Source organism: Homo sapiens, chromosome 18 (assembly GCF_000001405.40).
Source record: "Homo sapiens chromosome 18, GRCh38.p14 Primary Assembly".
Classification (NCBI taxonomy): domain Eukaryota; kingdom Metazoa; phylum Chordata; class Mammalia; order Primates; family Hominidae; genus Homo; species Homo sapiens.
The window spans coordinates 23,097,069-23,116,838 of NC_000018.10; the positions used below are offsets into that span (position 1 = coordinate 23,097,069).

General features: G+C 46.2%; 1 long non-coding RNA gene across 1 annotated transcript, besides 3 other annotated features; it reads left to right on the top strand.

The window, feature by feature from the left end:
- Positions 2,597–2,891: an enhancer, noted in NCBI's record as "tiled region #2761; HepG2 Activating DNase matched - State 5:Enh". NCBI's record gives its function as "activates a minimal TATA promoter and a strong SV40 promoter by Sharpr-MPRA in HepG2 cells {active_cell/tissue: HepG2}" and the evidence as "EXISTENCE:reporter gene assay evidence [ECO:0000049][PMID:27701403]".
- Positions 8,207–8,708: an enhancer, noted in NCBI's record as "H3K4me1 hESC enhancer chr18:20685239-20685740 (GRCh37/hg19 assembly coordinates)". NCBI's record gives its function as "activates a minimal SCP1, AML or CMV promoter by ChIP-STARR-seq in primed H9 embryonic stem cells {active_cell/tissue: H9 hESC(primed)}" and the evidence as "EXISTENCE:reporter gene assay evidence [ECO:0000049][PMID:30033119]".
- Positions 8,709–9,208: an enhancer, noted in NCBI's record as "H3K4me1 hESC enhancer chr18:20685741-20686240 (GRCh37/hg19 assembly coordinates)". NCBI's record gives its function as "activates a minimal SCP1, AML or CMV promoter by ChIP-STARR-seq in primed H9 embryonic stem cells {active_cell/tissue: H9 hESC(primed)}" and the evidence as "EXISTENCE:reporter gene assay evidence [ECO:0000049][PMID:30033119]".
- LOC124904266 (uncharacterized) lies at positions 8,864–9,477 on the top strand. Its single transcript, XR_007066311.1, has 2 exons — positions 8,864–9,025; positions 9,137–9,477. It is a non-coding gene; the product is annotated as an uncharacterized LOC124904266 (long non-coding RNA).
- The last annotated feature ends 10,293 nt before the right edge of the window (positions 9,478–19,770 follow it).

A 19,770-nucleotide genomic window follows, 5' to 3' on the forward strand; every position in this document is an offset into this window, starting at 1 on the left:
GAGACGAGCCTGGCCAACATGGAGAAACCCTGTCTCTACTAAAATACAAAAATGAGCTGGGCGTGGTGGCAGGTGCCTGTAATCCCAGCTACTCAGGAGGCTGAGGCAGGAGAATCACTTGAACCCAGAAGGCAGAGGTTGCAGTGAGCTGGGATTGCATCACCACACTTCAGCCTGGGTGACAGAGCAAGACTCCCTCTCAAAAACAAAAGATGAATAAGTGGATCGAGAGGCTGGGCACTGGGGTCCCTCATGCCTATAATCCCAGTGCTTTGGGAGGTCAAGGCAAGAGGATCATTTGAGCCCAGAAGGTCGAGGCTGCAGTGAACTATGAGCACGCCACTGCATTCTAGCCTGGCCAACTGAGTGAGACCCTGTCTCAAAAAAAAAAAAAAAAAAGAAAAAAGAAAAAAGAAAAAAAAAGAAAAAGAAAAAAAGGAAAAAGAAAAAAAAGTAGGTCAAGAAAGCCAAAAATGGGCTGAGTAGAGGCTTGTCAAGATTCAAGAGTCAAGGCATTGGCCGGGTGCGGTGGCCTACGCCTGTAATCCCAGCACTTTGGGAGGCCGAGGCAGGCAAATCACCTGAGGTCAGGAGTTCAAGACCAGCCTGGCCAACATGGTGAAACCCTGTTTCTACTAAAATATAAAAATTAGCTGGGCATGATGGTGGGCGCCTGTAATCCCAGCTACTCAGGAGGCTAAGACAGGCAAAGCACTTGAACCTGGGAGACGGTGGTCACAGTGAGCCGAGATCGCATCCCTGCACTCCAGCCTGGGTGACTGAGCGAGACTCCGTCTAAAAATAAAATAAAATAAAATAAAAGCCGGGCACGGTAGCTCACGCCTGTAATCCCAACACTTTGGGAGGCCGAGACGGGTGGATCACGAGGTCAGGAGATCGAGAACATCCTGGCTAACACGGTGAAACCCCATCTTTACTAAAAATACAAAAAGCAGCTGGGCATGGTGGTGCACACCTGTAGTCCCAGCTACTTGGGAGGCTGAGGCAGGAGAATTGCTTGAACCCGGGAGGCAGAGGTTCCAGTGAGCTGAGATTGTGCCACTGTACTCCAGCCTGGGCAACAAGAGCAAAACTCCGTCTCAAACAAACAAACAAAAAAAAAATAGAGAGAATTGGAGGCCAGTCACAGTGGCTCACACCTGTAATCCCGGCAATTTGGGAGGCCGAGGCAGGTGGATCACCTGAGTTCAGGAGTTCAATACCAGCCTGGCCAACATGGTGGAACCCCATCTCCTCAAAAATACAAAAATTAGCTGGGCATGATGACGGGTGCCTGTAATCTCAGCTACTCGGGAGTCTGAGGTGGGAGAATCGCTTGAACCTGGGAGGTGGAGGTTGCAGTGAGCTGACGTCGTACCATTGCACTCCAGCCTGGGTGACAGAGCAAGACTCCGTCTCAAAAAAAAGTAAATAAATAAAAATTAAAAGAGAATTGGAGAACAAAATGGTAAGAGGGTATATAGTCAGAAAGCACCACCGGGAACTTATGCCCATACTCCCCAACTAGGCTATACTGGGACCACTTAACCCTGAAGATTCAACCCCCACCTCAGACTCTGGGAACAATCCTGTCTCTATTCAGGAAAACGTAACAAACCGCAGGCCAGAGGGTCCATCCTGGGTGAGCAAGCCTGACCCCTGGAAATGTGGCCTCTCTTCCTGTTGGTCAGGCTCTACCCTCAAGGAGCTTATAGTCTGGCTTGGAGAAGCAAGACACATGGAACAGCAGTTCCAACAACGTAAAAAGGTATCATGAGGTTAAGTCCTAAATGAGTTTTACAGATGATACATAGTGTAAATAAAAAAAAAAAGGGAGAACAGTTGTGGCCGAGGGTCAGTTTTGTGAAACACAGAGTGTGGCCATCACTTTATAACAGCAGCAGGTCTTGAATAAGCATGGAAAAAAGAGAATGTGCATTAGTGGAAGGTGCAGAACTGAGGGAAGTCAAATGAGCAAAGGCCACATTCTTTTTTTTTTTTTTTTTGAGATGGAGCCTCGCACTGTCACCCAGGCTGGAGTGCAATGGCACGATCTCGGCTCACTGCAGCCTCCGCCTCCTGGTTCAACCAATTCTCTGCCTCAGCCTTCTGAGTAGCTGGGATTACAGGCGCTTGCCACCACGCCCGGCTAATTTTTGTATTTTGAGACCAGGTTTCACCATCTTGGCCAGGCTGGTCTTGAACTCCTAACCTCATGATCCACCTGCCTTGGCCTCCCAAAGTACTGAGATTACAGGCATGAGCCACCATGCCCAGCCGTTTTTGTTTGTTTGTTTGTTTGTTTTTGAAACAGGGTCTCACTCTGTTGCCTAGGCTGGAGTGCAATGGTGTGAACATGGCTCACTACAATCTCAACCTTCTGGACTTAAGCAATCCTCCCACCTTAGCATCCTGGGTAGCTAGGACTACAGGCACGTGCCACCCTACCCAGCTATTAATAATTTTTTAAATTTATTTTTTGTAGAGAAAGGATCTTCCTATATTGCCCCCGGCTTAAGAGATCCTCCTGCCTCAGCTTCCCAAATTGCCATCCTCTTGCCTTGGCCTCTCAAAGTGCTGGGATTACAGGCATGAGCCACCATGCCTGGCTGTTTGACCGTGTCTTGATTTAGTGCTTCAACTCTAACCAAGTGCCTTAGCTGACAGGTGCCTGGACTCTGCCTTCCTGTCTTTGCTTAGCACTCTGGTATTTCTGGGCCCTCAACTTCTGTAGTTTACCCACTTCTGACTCACTGCTGTTCAAGCACTGGGTTTCCGTGTACTCTGGCCTCAGTTCCCCGCCCAGCTCTTTTGACCAAAGGCTACCAATGTCTTGGCCTAATACAAGGAACGGTCACCAGCCACCCTTGGGCAAACAACCCAGACTTGTTCCTAAGAAGGGGAATGAGAGCGGCTATTTTATGTGGAGAAGGAACCAAATTCATAGGCTTGGGTGCTTTCAAGTAACCAAATCCAAGGGAAAAGTTTGTCTAAAATTTTCTCTTTTTCTCCCTGTACTTTGATAAATTCCTTTTTATTTATTCATTTTTTTCTTTTCTAAAAATTGTTACCAAACATAATAGAGATTCACTTAAATACATCATGAATGATAGACTGGAATATTTTTGAATCATATTCACCAAAACATTAGAAGTGAATCAGTAGTAGTGTGGTCTCTGAAGTCAACTTTAAAAGAATTGATCCATCAGCTCCGCCAAGAGTCAATAAATCTGCAGGAGTCATGATAAGACCCATGATCAAGATAAACCTGCCGTGTAATTCATGTAAACATTGGGGTCAAAATATTCATGGCGCCTAAAGTAAATCAGTATGTTCATTCCAAATGTGATTTTTAAAAACTACATATGATAGATATTTTTCTCTTTTTATTTTTTTATTTTTATTATTTTTTTTTTGAGACGGAGTCTCCCTCTGTCACCCAGGCTGGAGTGCAGTAGTGCAATCTCGGCTCACTGCAAGCTCCCCATCCCGGGTTCACACCATTCTCCTGCCTCAGCCTCCCGAGTAGCTGGGACTACAGGCGCCCGCCACCACGCCTGGCTAATTTTTTGTATTTTAGTAGAGACGGGGTTTCACTGTGGTCTTGATTTCCTGACCTCGTGATCTGCCCACCTCAGCCTCCCAAAGTGCTGGGATTACAGGCGTGAGCCACCGTGCCCAGCCTTTTTTTTTTTTTTTTTTTTTTTTGGAGACAGTCTTGCTCTGTTGCCCATACCGGAGTGCAGTGGTGAGATCTTGGTTGGCTCACTGCAACCTCCACCTCCCAGGTTCAAGCAATTCTCCTGCCTCAGCCTCCCAATTCTCCTGCCTCAGCCTCCCAAATAGCTGGGATTACAGGCACATGCCACCACACCCAGCTAATTTTTGTATTTTTAGTAGAGACGGGGTTTCACCATGTTGGCCAGGCTGGTCTTGAACTCCTGACCTCAAGTGATCTGCCCACCTTGGCCTCCCAAAGTGCTGGGATTATAGGTGTGAGCCACTGTGCCCGGCTATCATAGATCTTTTATACCTTAATTAAGTTATTGCAATTCACAGTCCAGTAATACACGAAAAATGTTTTTATTCTACAAATTAGAAACTGTATTTCCTAGGGCAATGCCAAAGTAGATACAAATCGGGATGATGATTGGCTACCTAATAAAAATGCATGAAGGCCAGGCGCGGTGGCTCATACCTATAACCCCAGCACTTTGGGAGGCCAAGGCAAGAGGATCACCTGAGGTAAGGAGTTCGAGACCAGCCTGACCAACATGGAGAAACGCCGTCTCTACTAAAAATACAAAATTAGCCAGGCACAATGGTACATGCCTGTGATCCCAGAGACTCAGAAGTCTGAGACAAAAGAATCGCTTGAACACAGGAGGTGAAGGTTGCAGAGAGCCGAGATTGTGCCATTGCAATCCAGCCTGGGCAACGAGAGTGAAACTCTGTCTCAATATAATAATAATAATAATAATTAAAATGCAGCCATGGTGCAGTGGCTCATGCCTGTAATCCCAGCACTTTGAGAGGCCGAGGCGGGTGGATCACGAGGTCAGGAGATCAAGACCATCCTGGCTAACATGGTGAAACCCCATCTCTACTAAAAATACAAAAAATTAACCAGGCGTGGTGGTGGGCGCCTGCAATCCCAGCTACTCGGGAGGCTGAGGCAGGAGAATGGCATGAACCCGGGAGGCGGAGCTTGCAGTGAGCCGAGATCGCGCCTCTGCACTCCAGCCTGGGTGACAGAGCGAGACTCCGTCTCAAAAAAAAAAAAAAGAAAATTAAAATGCATGAAAATACAGTGCAGGCAGAGGCAGGTGAGGTGAGGGCGAGTAGAATATGATGTTTGGATTCTTAGGTTTGTCCTTATCTGAAATCTTGTTGACACAGGCATGAATGTTTGAATTTCTGAAGGGTGTGTGTCTGTCTATCTGAGGCTTTTTATTGCTATGCCTGCTGGCACGCATTTCTCTTAATGAAGAGCTTTTGATAAGCTGTAAGAACCTCACAACATACAGACACTTCCTAACAACAGCGTGCTTTCCTCTGGAAAAGGAACCAGAGACACAAAGCAGTTGATGCTGTTCATGTTCTGGGGTTCACTCGCAAGCACTTGAAGGGAAACGACTGGACAGTTCCTGTGAAGACAGGGTTTTCTTGAGAGTTTCTAGGAAGATCACAGGTTTTTTTGTTTTGTTTTGTTTTGTTTTGAGACGGAGTTTCGCTCTTGTCTCCCAGGCTGAAGTGCAATGGCGCAATCTTGGCTCACTGCAACTTCTGCCTCCCTGGTTCAAGCGATTCTCCTGCCTTAGCCTCCTGAGTAGCTGGGATTACAGGCGCCCGCTTTGGTTTACGCCTGTAATCCCAGCACTTTGGGAGGCTGAGGTGGGTGGATCACGTGAGGTCAAGAGTTTGAGACCAGCCTGGCCAACATGGTGAAACCCCATCTCTACTAAAAATACAAAAAGACCACAGTTTTGACACATCGTTTTAGCATACTAATTCTTGAGTTTCTAGAAAGGCTGTTCTCAGCTCTTTATTCTTTTTTAAAAAAATTTGTTGTTGTTGTTGTTGAGACACATTCTCACTCTGTCACCCAGGCTGGAATGCAGTGGCGCAATCTCAGCTCGCTGTGGCCTCGACCTCCCAGGCTCAGGTGATCCTCCCACCTCAGCCTGCCGAATAGGTGGGATTACAGGCGTGCCACTGCACCTAGCTAATTTAAAAAAAAAATTTTTTTTTTTTGTAGAGATGGAGTTTCACCATGTTGCCCAGGCTGGTCTCGAACTCCTGGGCTCAAGCTATCTGCCCACCTTGGCCTTCTAAAGTCCCGGGATTACAGGGATGAGACACCCTGCCTGGCCAGCTCCTTATTCTGAGGTTTCAGTCTTTTGCTGCTCCACATTTTAATAGAGTCTAAATTGCTAAAACTGACATAAATTGATAAAGGGATTTCTTCTGAACGCTAAGCTAGAAAGAATGTTGTTTTTCCCCCTGCAATTCTGGTAGGGAGATAATGAATCTAGCGCGGTTTCTCCCACCATGGTTCTTTAAGTAGTCAGTCCAAAGTTTGTTGATTGATTGTTATGCTAAAGGCAGATCAAAGACAAGTATGAAAAATGAAGTATGAAGCTCAGGCTTATTCAAACCCCAAGCACATAGAGTTTCATAACTCTATGTGCTTGGGGTCACTCATTTAAAGCAAATGTGCTTCTTTCTAAAATCTTATTTTGATTTTTTCAAAATTTTCACCTATGTTTAGGGAATATGTTGTCAAATCATGTTTTCACGTTATATACACTTTGTTGATTTATATTTTTTTAAGAGCCTAGGAGGAGGCTTCCAGAAAGCACCTGTTCATTCTGGTTTTGGTGAACCAGTTGACTATTGTTTGGTCACTAAGCTAAAAGCAGATCAAAGATGAGTATTAAAAATGAATTAGGAGGTCCAGGCTTATTCAAACCCCAAGCACATGGAATTTCACTCATCGAAAACCTCCTTTGGTCCAGAGATGTAGGACTACTTTTCTTACTGTAGGTGGCCTTCACGTTGGCCACCAGCTACCTGGGGCAGGGGGCAGGGTAGGAAGTGGCTGCGGACGTTTGGCCATGGGAAAGTGGAGTTCTGACTCTGGAGGCCCCAGAAAAACCAGGGAGGCCTATCTAGACAGGGGGAGAGGAGAAGCCACTGTGCCCTCTAGCCCAGAATTGTTTCTTCAGACATTTTGAAGTCTCTTCTCTTCCTGTTCTTTTGTCCCATACTCACCAAAATGCCTCATAGGTTCTATAGCTGAGGGAAGATTTCTTTCCTTTTTTTTGAGACGGAGTTTCGCTCTTGTTGCCTAGGCTGGGGGGCAATAGCGTGATCTCGGCTCCCCGCAACCTCCACCTCCCGGGTTCAAGTGATTCTCCTGCCTCAGCCTCATGAGTAGCTGGGATTACAGGCATGCACCACCACGTCCAGCTAATTTTGTATTTTTAGCAGAGACAGTGTTTCTCCATGTTGGTCAGGCTGGTCTGGAACCCCGATCTCAGGTGATCTGCCCGCCTCGGCCTCCCAAAGTGCTGGGATTACAGGCATGAGCCACAGTGCCTGGCCAGATTTCTTTTCTTTACCCATTGCAAGGTTCATACATGAGACCCCCTATATACAAAAGACAGATTAGCAAGAGAAAAGGAACCAGGCATGGTGACTCATGCCTGTGATCCCAGCACTTTGGGAGGCCAAAGAAGGAGGATCAGGAGGGAGGGTCACTTGAGGCCAGGAGTTTGAGACTAGCCTGGACAATATAATAAGACCACTATCTCTACAAAAAAATTTAAAAAATCATCTGGGCATGGTGGCACACACTTATAATCCCAGCTATTTGAGGGACTGCGGTGGGAGGACTGCTTGAGCCTAGGAGGTCAAGACTGCAGTGAGCTATGATTGCACCACTGCACTCCAGCCTGAGTGACAGAGTGACACCCTGTCCCAAAAAAGAAAAAAAATATATTTATTTGCTTACCCAGGCGTGGTGGCGCACACCTGTCATCCTAGCTACTTGGGAGGCTGCAGCAGGAGAATTGCTTGAGCCCAGGAGGCGGAGGTTGCAGTGAGCCAAGATCGCACCACTGCACTCCAGCCTGGGCGACAGAGTGAGACTTCGTCCCAAAAAGATTTGGCAGGCTAGGGCGGGCGGATCACTTGAGGTCAGGAGTTCGAGACCAGCCTGGCTAACATGGTGAAACCCCGTCTACCAAAAATACAAAAATTAGCTGGGCGCGGTGACACGTACCTGTAGTCCCAGCTACTCGGGAGGTAGAGGCACAAGAATTGCTTGAACCCGGGAGGCAGAGATTGCAGTGGGCCAAGATCACGCCACTGCACTCCAGCCTGGGTGACACAGCAAGATTCTGTGTCAAAAAAAAAAAAAAAAAGAAAAGAAAAAGAAAGAAAAAAGAAAAAGAGGGAGAGAAAAGGCATACAAATTTAATTCATTGTAAGTTTTACATGACACGGGAGCCTTCAGCATTTAAGACCCAAAGAAATGGTTAAACTTGTGCATTGTTACTTTTAGTTTAACGAAAAGTGGACAGTTGTAAAGAAATAGGACTGGAAGGGAAAAGGATGTGATCCAATGGGAATAAACTGAAGGGAACCCAGCAGGACCTGTTTGTTTAGATTCTTCTGTGTGCCTGTCTTCAGGGCTGTTTTCTCAAATACCAAGGTGCCATAGTTTAGGGTAGCATGTTCTGAACCCCATCAATTTCCCCTTAAAGTGGTTGTTTTTTGAACTTTACATAACAGTAACTTCTTGAGAAGATGGTCATGTATTTACGTATATATTTGGGACACTCTTTTCTCAGAGCCTTTGAAACACCTGCAACTACCAGAGGAGTTTTTTTTTTTTTGAAACGGAGTCTCCCTCTGTCGCCTAGGCTGGAGTGCAGTGGCGTGACCTCGGCTCACTGCAACCCAGAGGTGTCAGTTCTTACAGGTTCCTTACACAGCATGAGTTTGAAGCTTAGGGTATTGATTGGCCCTGCCTGAAGCGTTAGTGAGAAACCGTGGGCTTTGAACCTCGGCAGGGCTGTGAACCAAGAGCAGATGCTGCAGTTCTTCTCCTCAAGGCCTCCAAAAAAGCGTCATGAGAAATAAAGGAACTGTGCAGCCAGGGGCAAAATGCCTCCCGCAACTCCAGGGGCGCCATTCACAGGAAGCCAGCGTGGACGCCCCTGTGCAGGCCTCTGGGAGCAAGAAAGCTTTTTTCCAAGATATGGGGATGGACAATTTTCCTGAGGCGCAGACCTTAGGGAGCTTCCCGGGAGAAAGGCTGTTTCCTGTCTTGGGCGTGGAAGCGGATCCGCCCCCTGAGTCTGAGAGGACATGGCGGTCGGTAAACAGGACTTAATTCTGTTCCTCATCCACCCAGAACCCTCCCTGAGGGCCTCCCCTGCACTTTGGAAACAGCCCAAGCTTTGAAATCAGGAAGTTTGAAGACTGGTTCTGCTACTTCCAGGCTGTGTGGCCTTGGGTAAGTTCCTTGCCCTCTCTGCTTCAGGTTGCGCATTTGTGGAACCAGTTAACTGTATATAACCGGCTGAGTTCCCGCACTGAATAAGGAGAAGTCGGTCTTTCTTGGTAGATGCCGTGCCTGCGTTTGTGCGGTTGAAGGAAAGGAGGAAAATGAGAAGGGCCAAGATTGACCTGACTTGATTTACGGGAAAGAAGAGACAGTTGCTGGAGGAAGAAGGACCCATCCACTGGAAAAGGATGAGAAAAAGGAGAGAGAGAGAAGTCAGAGGCTGGGTTGGGAGTGAATTTGGGAGATTGTGGAGGAAAAGAGGAGAGAGATTTGTGGGGTAGCTGTAGGACATGCAACTGTATTTAGAAAGGGAGAGAGTTGGGAGACTTTGTGGGATTATTAAATTTCCCTTTAGCATTTGTAGAGGGCATTCCATTAAATACGCCAATGGTTTTATCAAACAGGTTGTTTAAAATCATTTTCCTCTGTCATCTTATCCAAGAATAAAATAAGAACAGAAATATCCAGAAGCCTGTTAGCAGTCCCCACCTTAGCTCCATTCTCACTCCCAGCTGTCAACTCTATGAGGTCAAGGTCTCTAACACAACTGGGTCCCTGGCGGCTCACAGCCGTGGCTGCTGGCACGGGAAAGATGCCGATCATATGTGTCATTGAATTTATTGCTTTCTGTGGTTTCAAGCCTGAAAAAGTTAAGAGAGAGTTACAGCCTCCTTTGACGTTATTGTCATCGGTCATGGGCCCCATGAGGTGGGATGTGGAGGTAGCCACTCTCTGGGAATCTCTGAGATGAGCACACATAAACTTTCTAGAAGCATCTGCACAGAGCCCATTTATGCCATTCAAAGCTTCCTGAATCCAAAGGAAACCTTGTAAAAAGTCAGCTAAAACACTTGAGCATTTAGAAGCATTTCCTGATCTTTTGGTTCTAGCAAATAGCACAGTGGAAAAAACAAATACCTTGAAGTTGAAGGAAATGTCTTTATTTATACCCACAGATCCCCCGTGGGTATAACCATGGTGAACTGACAAGGTTTAATATTTGGTGCAAGCATCTGAACACATATTGTTAATCTTCCTTTTTTCTGTCTTGTAATATTCAGTTGCTTAGTGGTCCCTAAAGTGCAGGGGGGTAGTTTTATATAGGAATTATATTTGGAAATAGAGTCAGAGGAATTCCTGAAGATTGAGTCATTGCTTTTTTTTTTTTTTTTTTTTTTGAGACAGAGTCTTGCTCTGTTGCCAGGCTGGAGTGAAGTGGCGTGATCTCAGCTTACTGCAACCTCCGCCTCCGAGGTTCAAGCAATTCCCCTGCCTCATCCTCCCAAGTAGCTGGGACTACAGGCACGTGCCACCATGCCCAGCTAATTTTTTGTATTTTAGTAGAGATGGGGTTTCACCTTGCTGGCCAAGAGGTCTCGATCTCCTGACCTCAAGATCCACCCATCTCAGCCTCTCAAAGTGCTGGGATTACAGGCGTGAGCCACAGTACCCGGCCCCATTGCTTTATTTTTTAGTGTTAGAGACTATTCCCATCAGGTTTCTTCGCATGATTTTTCTGTATCCTCATAAAACTGAGAGCTAAATCAAGAAGATAAGTAAACTTTGTTTCCCTCTTACCATCCAGCTTCTCACACCCATCTGGTTCTATCCTGCAGAATGCTGTCATTCACTTCTCCACCACCCCCACGTGCAGTGTATAGAACTGATGATATCATCCCTTTATTTCTGATGGGAGAAAATAAAGCACATCTGTCGGATCACTTAGGAAACAGAAATGCCCCTGATGGGGCTGGTGTGGCATTTAGATTAAGGCAGGCCTCCACGCCCAGACCTTTCCACGTGATATAGACAAAAGGACGGCAAACCAGACCTATGTGCTTCAGTTCTAGGGAACGCAAAGCACCTATTCCCACAGTCTTAAAGATTAACTGCAGGATGAATTGCAAGTACAGACATTCACCAAAATTCCTCCCACCCTCCCTCTACTCTCAGGAGAGAACGGGCTGTTGTAAATGTGCACCCCTGGGGCCTTGAGATGTTTTCAAAGGAAACAGCCGAACTGGCATTCCCATCTATATTTAAGGGCCAACTTCCACACCACTAAAGAGAAATAATGGTATTTTTTTCCTTGAATAGAAAAAGTAATATAAGTGAGTGTGGAATGTTTAAAAACACATAAAAGAGACAAGAAAAATAAAATCACTCAGAATTCTAAAATTTTGGTATAAATCATTCTAGGCTGCTTATCTGCAAGTTAATGTTTATGGAATATGTATATGTGTGTGTATATATCTATATGATGAAAAAATGACATTGTACATTTGCTTGAGAATCTGATTTTTTAAAATTAGCTATATAACGTAAATATACTTCCATTTCATTAAATGTTATTTCGTATCAGCATTTGAAATGGCTATATAGTTGTTGGCTATGTAGTGTTGCTTTATAGTGATCTATTTAAGCAGTCCCAATGGCTAGACATTAATTCCAATTTTCTGCTATTAAAAACAATACTTCAAGGAGCATCTTTGTGTACAAATCTTGGCAGACCTGTGAAATAAATTCTTTGGCATGAATCTGAAAATGTCGAAATGCCAGGTCACAGAGCATGCCAATTTTAAAGGTTTCTGACATGCAACTTTTTTTTTTTTTTTTTTTGAGACGGAGTTTCATTCTTGTTGCCCAGGCTGGAGTACAATGGCGATCTCGGCTCACTGCAACCTCTGTCTCCTGGGTTCAGGTGATTCTCCTGCCTCAGCCTCCTGAGTAGCTGGGATTACAAGCATGCCCCACCACGCCTGGCTAATTTTATATTTTTAGTAGAGATGGGGTTGCTCCATGTTGGTCAGGCTGGTCTCGAACTCCCTACCTCAGGCGATCCAACTGCCTCGGCCTGCAAAGTGCTGGGATTACAGGTGTCAGCCACCGTTTCCAGCCAAAGTGTTTCACTTTTATGCAATAGAAACCATCAATCTTCTCCTTTATGTTTTCTGACTTTGCCTGTCCATGCTTAGGAAAGCTGTCTCTCTAAATCCTGCTGACTGTCATCAGTAACTTATAATCATTGACTGCCTGTAACAGCTCTTCTGTTGTTGGACAAGATGTCAATAGTAACTGAAGGCAAGGATCAGCTCTTAGGCTTACTTCTCCCATAAGTGTCTCGTATTTGGTGGATTGCAGTCCATTCATTAAAAACTTGTTTTAGGGCCAGGCGTGATGGCTCATGCCTATAATCCCAGCACTGTGGGAGGCCGAGGTGGGTGGATAGCGTGAGGTCAGGAGTTCGAGACCAGCCTGGCCAACACGGTGAAACCCCATCTCTACTAAAAATATGAAAATTAGCCAGCTGTGGTAGCAGGCACCTATAATCCCAGCTACTTAGGAGGCTGAGGCACGAGACTAGCTTGAACCCAGGAGGCAGAGGTTGCAGTGAACCGAGACCACACCATCGCACTCCAGCCTAAGGAACAAGAGCAAAACTCTTTCTCAAAACAAACAAACCAAACAAAAACCATGTTTTAGGCAGCATGCAGTGTCTCAGGCCTGTAATCCCAGCATTTTGGGAGGCCAAAGCGGGTGGATTGCTTGAGGTCAGGAGTTCGAGACCAGCCTGGGCATCGCGGTTAAACCCCATCTCTCCTGAAATACAAAAATTAGTCAGGCATGGTGGTAGGCACTTGTAATCCCAGCTACTCAGGAGGCTGAGATAGGAGAATTGCTTGAACCCGGGAGGTGGAGACTGCAATGAGCCAAGATCGTGCCACTGCACTCCAGCCTGGGCGACAGAGCAAGACTCCATCTCAAAAAAAAAAAAAAGTTTTAATTGAGCACCTACTATATTCCAGGATTAACTATTGATGAGCTGGATCCTGGTTCACAATCACTTCTTTGTGAATTCCACCACCATATATTAAATAATTAATACATGTGAACAGTAATGGGACCAGGGCAGGAAGGGGGTCAGTAATTAATTTAAAAAATCCCTGCCCTTTGAAAAATCTATAGTTCAATATACTCTCTCTCTCTGTCTTTTTTTTTTAGCGAAGATGTTTTTGCTGTGTTGCCTGGGCTGGTCTCAAACTCTTGGCCTCAAGTCATCCTCCCACCTCAGCCTCCTGAGTACGAGGGATTACAAGCATGAGCCACCACACCCAGCTTCTTTAAAAAGAAAAAAAAATTTTTTATTGACATATAAGCATTGTATATATTTAAGGTCTACAACTTGACACTTGAGGGATTAAAGAGAGGTAAGATTTTAAAAGGTGAATAATTAAGGGAGAAGGGGTGAGTAGCTGGTAACAGGGGGTGAGGAGGGGCTGTGGAAAGGAGCATCTGAAGTGAACCTTACAGGTAGAGCTGAGGGAGAGAGCATTCTTGGCTTCCTGTCCCTGTAGGATTATAAAAGATGTTACCAGCCAAATACCCTTGAAGCTTGAAATCAACCCACAATGTCCAAAGGAGGAGTTCAGTGAGGAGCTAAAGAAGAGGAATTAGCGCTTCTTTAACCTGTCTTTTGCATTTATATTGTCCTTGTGATATTTTTTGGTGTATAGATGATTTTCTTTCTTATGGAGTTAAATCTTCTTTTGTTTGTTTGAGATGGAGTCTTACTCTGTTGCCCAGGCTGGAGTGCAGTGGTGCAATCTCAGCTCACTGCAACCTCCAAACTCTCGGGTTCAAGCGATTCTCCTGCCTCAGCTCCTGAGTAGCTGGGACTACAGGTGCACACCACCATGCCCGGCAAATTTTTGTAGTTGTAGTAGAGATGAGGTTTCACCATGTTGGCCAGGCTGGTCTCGAACTCCTGACCTCAGGCTATCCACCAGCCTCGGCCTCCCAAAGTGCTGGGATTACAGGCATGAGCCACTGCGCCTGGTCACTTATGGAATTAAATCTTTTTGGATGGTGTGGTATATTGTATTTTCCAAGGGTGGCTGCACGAATATATATTCCACTCTAGATTCTTTTCTTAGAATGTGACCTTAGCAGGCCTCATTAAGAGGTAGAGTTTGTGTTCCCTCCCCTTGAACTTGGGTGGAACTTTGTAACTGCCTCAACCAATAGAATGTGGCAGAAGTGACATCCGAGGCTCAGTCCTAGAAAGCAACGTGGTTCTGGGGGACTCTCTTGCTTTCTCTTGGGATGCTTCTTCTCTGAACCCAGCCACCATATTGTGAGGAAGTCCAGGCCACACGGAGAAGCTAGATGTGGATGTTCTGACCAAGAGCCCCAGCTAGATTCCCAGACAATCACCAGACAGGTAAGCAAGGAGGGCTTGGGGCTTGTGATGTAACTGACATCTTGAAACGATCATTGTGGCTTCTGGAGACTTGATTGTGGGGAAGGGAACTGCAGACCAGGAGTGGAAGCAGGGAGACCAGAGAGGACTCTGTAGAGTGTCCAGGAGAGAGATGATGTGGTTTGGATTAAGGTTAAACCCGTGGCATAGGTGAAAAGTGCTCCTATATGGGAAATGTTTTGAAGATGGAGGGCACAGGACTTGCTGATGGACTGAATGGAGGGTGAGGGAAAGAGAGAACTTACTGACAATGTCTAGATTTCTGGCCTGGGCAATTGGGTATCAGATAAGTGATGAAATCACTTACTGAGATGAGGATGCCTGAGAGATGAGCAGCTTAAGATCAGCTTCACCTGAGCAAGTTCTGTGAGAAGCTTCTTAAATCTCCGTCTCTACTAAAAATACAAAACTTGGGCCGGGCACGGTGGCTTACGCCTATAATCCCAGCACTTTGGGAGGCCAAGGCGGGTGGATCACGAGGTCAGGAGATCGAGACCATCCTAGCTAACACGGTGAAACCCTGTCTCTACTGAAAGTACAGAAAATTAGCCGGGCGCGGTCATGGGCACCTGTAGTCCCAGCTACTCGGGAGGCTGAGGCAGGAGAATGGTGTGAACCCAAGAGGCGGAGCTTGCAGTGAGCCAAGATCGTGCCACTGCACTCCAGCCTGGGTGACAGAGCGAGACTCTGTCTCAAAAAAAAAAAAAAATACAAAACTTAGCTGGACATGGTGGCGCATGCCTGTAGTCCCAGCCAGTTGGGAGGGTAAGGCAGGAGAATTGCTTGAACTGGGGAGGCAGTGGTTGCAGTGAGCCGAGATCGCGCCACTGCACTCCAGCTTGGTGACAGAGTGAGACTCCGTCTCAAAAAAAAAAAAAAAACAACCCCAAACTTAGCTTAAACCAGCTATTTCATTTGCCCACCAGTTTGGTGGGCTGGGAATCCAGGGCAGGGCACAGAAGAAATGGTTAGTCTCTACTCCACAGTTTCTGGGACTTTAGCTTGGAAGACTCAAGGATTGGAGGCAACATGAGAGCTGGGACTGGAATCATCTGGAAGCATCTTTACCCACAGATATGGCTGGTTATTCACTGGAACCTCAGCACAGGCTGTCAACTGGGATACTTACAGTGCCCTCCCCATGAGGGTTGGGCTTCCTTCCAGTATGGCAGCCTTTGGGAGTTGGACGACTTACATGGCAGCTTTCCTAACCTAGCCTTGGAAGTCACATAGCATCATCTCTACCCCCTTCTGTTGGTGACAAGAGAGTCACAAGTCTGCCTAGATTGAAGACCCCTTCTCTCTGTGGAAGGAGTGTGGAGGTCATATTGGAGAAGAGCTTATAGAATGGGAGATACTGTTGGGACCAACTCTGGAAGACAGAATCTGTCACAGCTCATAGAGCCTTGTCATTGGATGAGATACTTAGGAAGCGAGTGTAGACAGGAGAAGTCCTGGACTGGCCTGGGGACACTCAACATTTGGAGACTGAGAGGAGGAGGGTCAGTGGGCAGAGGGAAACCTGGAGCAAAAGACACTTCTTGCAGTGACTGCTACTTCCTGCTGAAGTTCCTTAGGGAATGGGGTCAGGATAGGTTCCTCTCTCCTTTCCCCATTGTGTGTATATGTGTCTGTGTGGTAAAATATACATAGCATGACATTTACCATCTTAGCAATTTTTTATTTTATTTTGTGAGACAGAGTCTCACTCTGTCGCCCAGGCTGGAGTGCAGTGGTGCAATCTCAGCTCACTGCAACCTCCGCCTCCTGGGTTCAAACGATTCTCCTGCCTCAGCCTCCTGAGTAGCTGGGACTAGCTAATTAGCCACCACACCTAGCTAATTTTTATATTTTTAGTAGAGACAGGGTTTCACCATGTTCGCCAGGCTGGTCTCAAATTCCTGACCTCAGGTGATCTGCACACCTCAGCCTCCCAAAGTGCTGGGATTATAGGAGTGAGTCCCTGAGCCCGCCACCATCTTAGCAATTTTTAAGGTACAGTTAGTTGAGTGGCATTAAGTACATTCACATTGTTGTGCAACCATCACTACCACCCATCTCCATAGCTCTTTTCATCTTGTAAAACTGAAATTGTACGTTAAACACTAACTCCCCTTCCCTCCTCCCCCCAGCCCCTGGCTACCACCACTCTGTCTCTATGATTCTGATGACTCTAAGTACCTCATACAAGTGGAATCACAGTGTATTTGTCTTTCCATGACTGGCTTACTTCACTTAGCATAATGTCCTCAAGACAGGACAGGTCTTGCCTCAGCTGCAAGCTGGTGCCAGAACCAGCCATCCCTGGTTCTGGGACGTCCATGGGCATGGCCTGGGGGCTCACTTGAGCAAAATTCCATGGCCCCACGAAGACAACCAGAGTCCCCCGTACCTCTCCATCCCGCACAGGCTCAGTCTTCCAAAACACTGCGGTGTGGGAGGGGGTTGCCTCAGTCCAGTCAAAACCCATTTTTTTAGAAAACCATTTATGCCGCTTCTTTAAGAGCTAAAGAATCCTCCAATTTACTCAACTCTAAAAAAAACCTTAACACCCAAACAGTAGCATCTGGACATAAATTTAACTAGATTTCAGAGTTTTCTCTAAGAATAGTTGGTGAATGTTGCTTTACGTCTTGGAGAATTTCCTAAACTAAGAGAGTCCAAAGATAAGGATTATTTCACTTCCAGGAAACAAAACTGCCATTTAGGTCCCTAAATGGCAGATCCCAGGTAACAGTACAAAACAAGTCTCTCTTTACAAAGCCCCTGCTATTGTAGTTAAAATAAACAGTCCATGTGTTAGAGTTGGAAATTCTATTGTTATATAGATATCTTGCTGAAATGGGTTCTGACCCCTACAAAGAGTTCTCAAGAATGAAACACGTGATGTTCCTTTAATGTTGTTTTTGCTCATGCAAATGACATCCTATTACACCCACGGATGCTTAACTACTAAGTTAAAACAACTACATGGCAATTTTGATCACTCCAGAGTCCCCTCACTGTTTTGTGGTTTTATGTAATTCGCATATTGTGTACAAAAAGACTTGACCTGGAGCCGGCAGCAAGAAATGTGTAATTAGAAACACTTCCCGAGGAAATTAGGTGACAAGTGAAGGCTTGAGGATTTCCGAGGGAGCCTGGAGCTGCAGATATTCATTATGGGTACTTAAGAGGCACAGCTGCCTCTGCTGAAAACCATGTCAAATGCCGTCCGCTGGATGCCAGCGTGGAGGCCAGCCCAGAGCCAGAGATGGTGGCTATGGCAACACGCTACTCCATTTTTAAACTTTTCATTACCTAAAAGGAAATTGCTTAGGCTGTTTTTCTTTTTTTCCTTTTTCTCCCTACCAATTTCAGAGTTTGTACCAGCAGTGAATAGCCTCCAGGTCTAACATTTCCTGGGTAATGAGTGACTAGCTGGGTGAAGTGCTTTTGGCCTTACCTCCAGCCTTGGCAACTCCAGCCAGTTATTAATTGCTGCACCGGGAAACACTTTCCAATCAAGCTATTATTTAATCAAAATAAAAGAAAACGAACTATTATTGCTGTCAACAGCAATGAGCAACTCTCCGCAGGAGTCTAAATGGGAACTGTGGAGGTTTTCACTGGAAGAAGTGTTCCTCTGGGGGTCAGATAAGCAGGGCAACGTGAAGTTGCGTGGAGTACCCTTGGGAACTGGTTCTTGTGGGAGGAGAGAATGTTGAACCAGCAGGAAGACGCAGAGAGATTACACACACCCTGTCCTAGATCTCAGTCATTCATGGTCAGTTAACCTGTAACCTTGCTGTTAAGCCAGTGCCCCAAATGCTTCTGTGGGAGTGTCTGCAGGGGAAAAGACAGTCCATAGAAGCATTTGGGCTGCTTCTATAAGCAATAAATAGTAAAACCTGTAACCACCATAATAACCACACTTCCTGAGTACCCCCAATGTGCCAGGCAGGCACTGTGCCCCCAGGTTTATACTCAGATCTCAAGAGTTCCCCACATTGCCACTGTGGGGAGAGTATAGTCACGATCCCTCTTTCACAGGGACACTGAGTCCGAGAGAGATGAACTTGGCCAAGACCCACCACACCCTGGTGTGAATAGCAGAGCCGGGGCTTGACTTCTAGTCTCTGCATCGAGCAGTTGCTTTTTTTTTTTCTTTAAGTGACAATATAAACATAACATAAAAGTGACCATCTTAACCATTTTTAAGTGGATAGTTCTGTGGCAGTAAGTACATTGACATTGTATGCAACTATCACCACCAACCATCTCTAGAACTTTTTCATATCCCCAGCTGAAACTCTGTACCCATTAAACACTAACTCCTCATTCCCTCCTTCCCCAAGCCCCTGGCAACCACTATTCTGTCTCTAACAGCGTGATGATTCCATGGACCTCACATGAGTGAATCATACACTATTTGTCCTTTGGTGACTGGCTTGTTTCACTGAGCGTAACGTCCTCAGGGTTCATCCACGTTGTAGTATGAGTCAGAATTGCCTTCCTACTTAAGGCTGAATTACATTCCATCGTTTGTATACACCACATTTTGTTTATCCATTCATCTATGGATGGACATTTGGGTTGTGCCCATGTTTTGGCTGTTGTGAATCATGCTGCTATGTTTACTTCTTCTTTTTTTTTTTTTTTTTTGAGATGGAGTTTTGCCCTTGTTATCCAGGCTGGAGTGCAGTGGCATGATCTTGGCTCATTGCAAGCTCTGCCTTCTGGGCTCCAGCGATTCTCCTGACTCAGCCTCCCGAGTAGCTGGGATTACAGATGCCCACCATCACACCCAGCTAATTGTTTGTATTTTTAGTAAAGGCGGGATTTCATCATGTTGGCCAGGCTGATCTTGAACTCCTGACTTCAGGTAATCCACCTGCCTCGGCCTCCCAAAGTGCTGGGATTACGGGTGTGAGCCACCGTGCCCGGCCGCTACGTTTAACTCTTAACCTCTAAGATTCATTGCCCCTGGGAGTAGTTGCTCTTCAAGGATAACACATGGCTCAGGGACTGCCTGTCACACCCCAACCTGAGAATCAGCAGAGACTACCACGGGGCCCATCAGGCCACTAGGCAGGTGCCACTCCCCTGGCAGGGAGAGAGGTGCCGGTGGCCACCGACCTCATAGGGTTCCACAGCTCCACACTGGCATGTTGCGGGAGGAATTTCAGTGTTCAATCCCAGGCTGTTTCTCTGAGTCTTAGGTTCTGGGATAAACAAGCTCCTTCAAGTCCAAACTGCTCAGATTAGACTTTACTGATAGATTCCACACCTGGAATCCTGCTCCGGGACTGCAGTCTCATCCTCCAGCTCCTGCAGGCTTCTTCTAAGCTGGTGGGTCTCAGCAGGGATGGGGGTGAGTGGTACTCCACACCCAGGGGACACCACCCACAGGAAGCTTTGTGGACATGTGAAGGGCATATGTGGTTGTCATAAT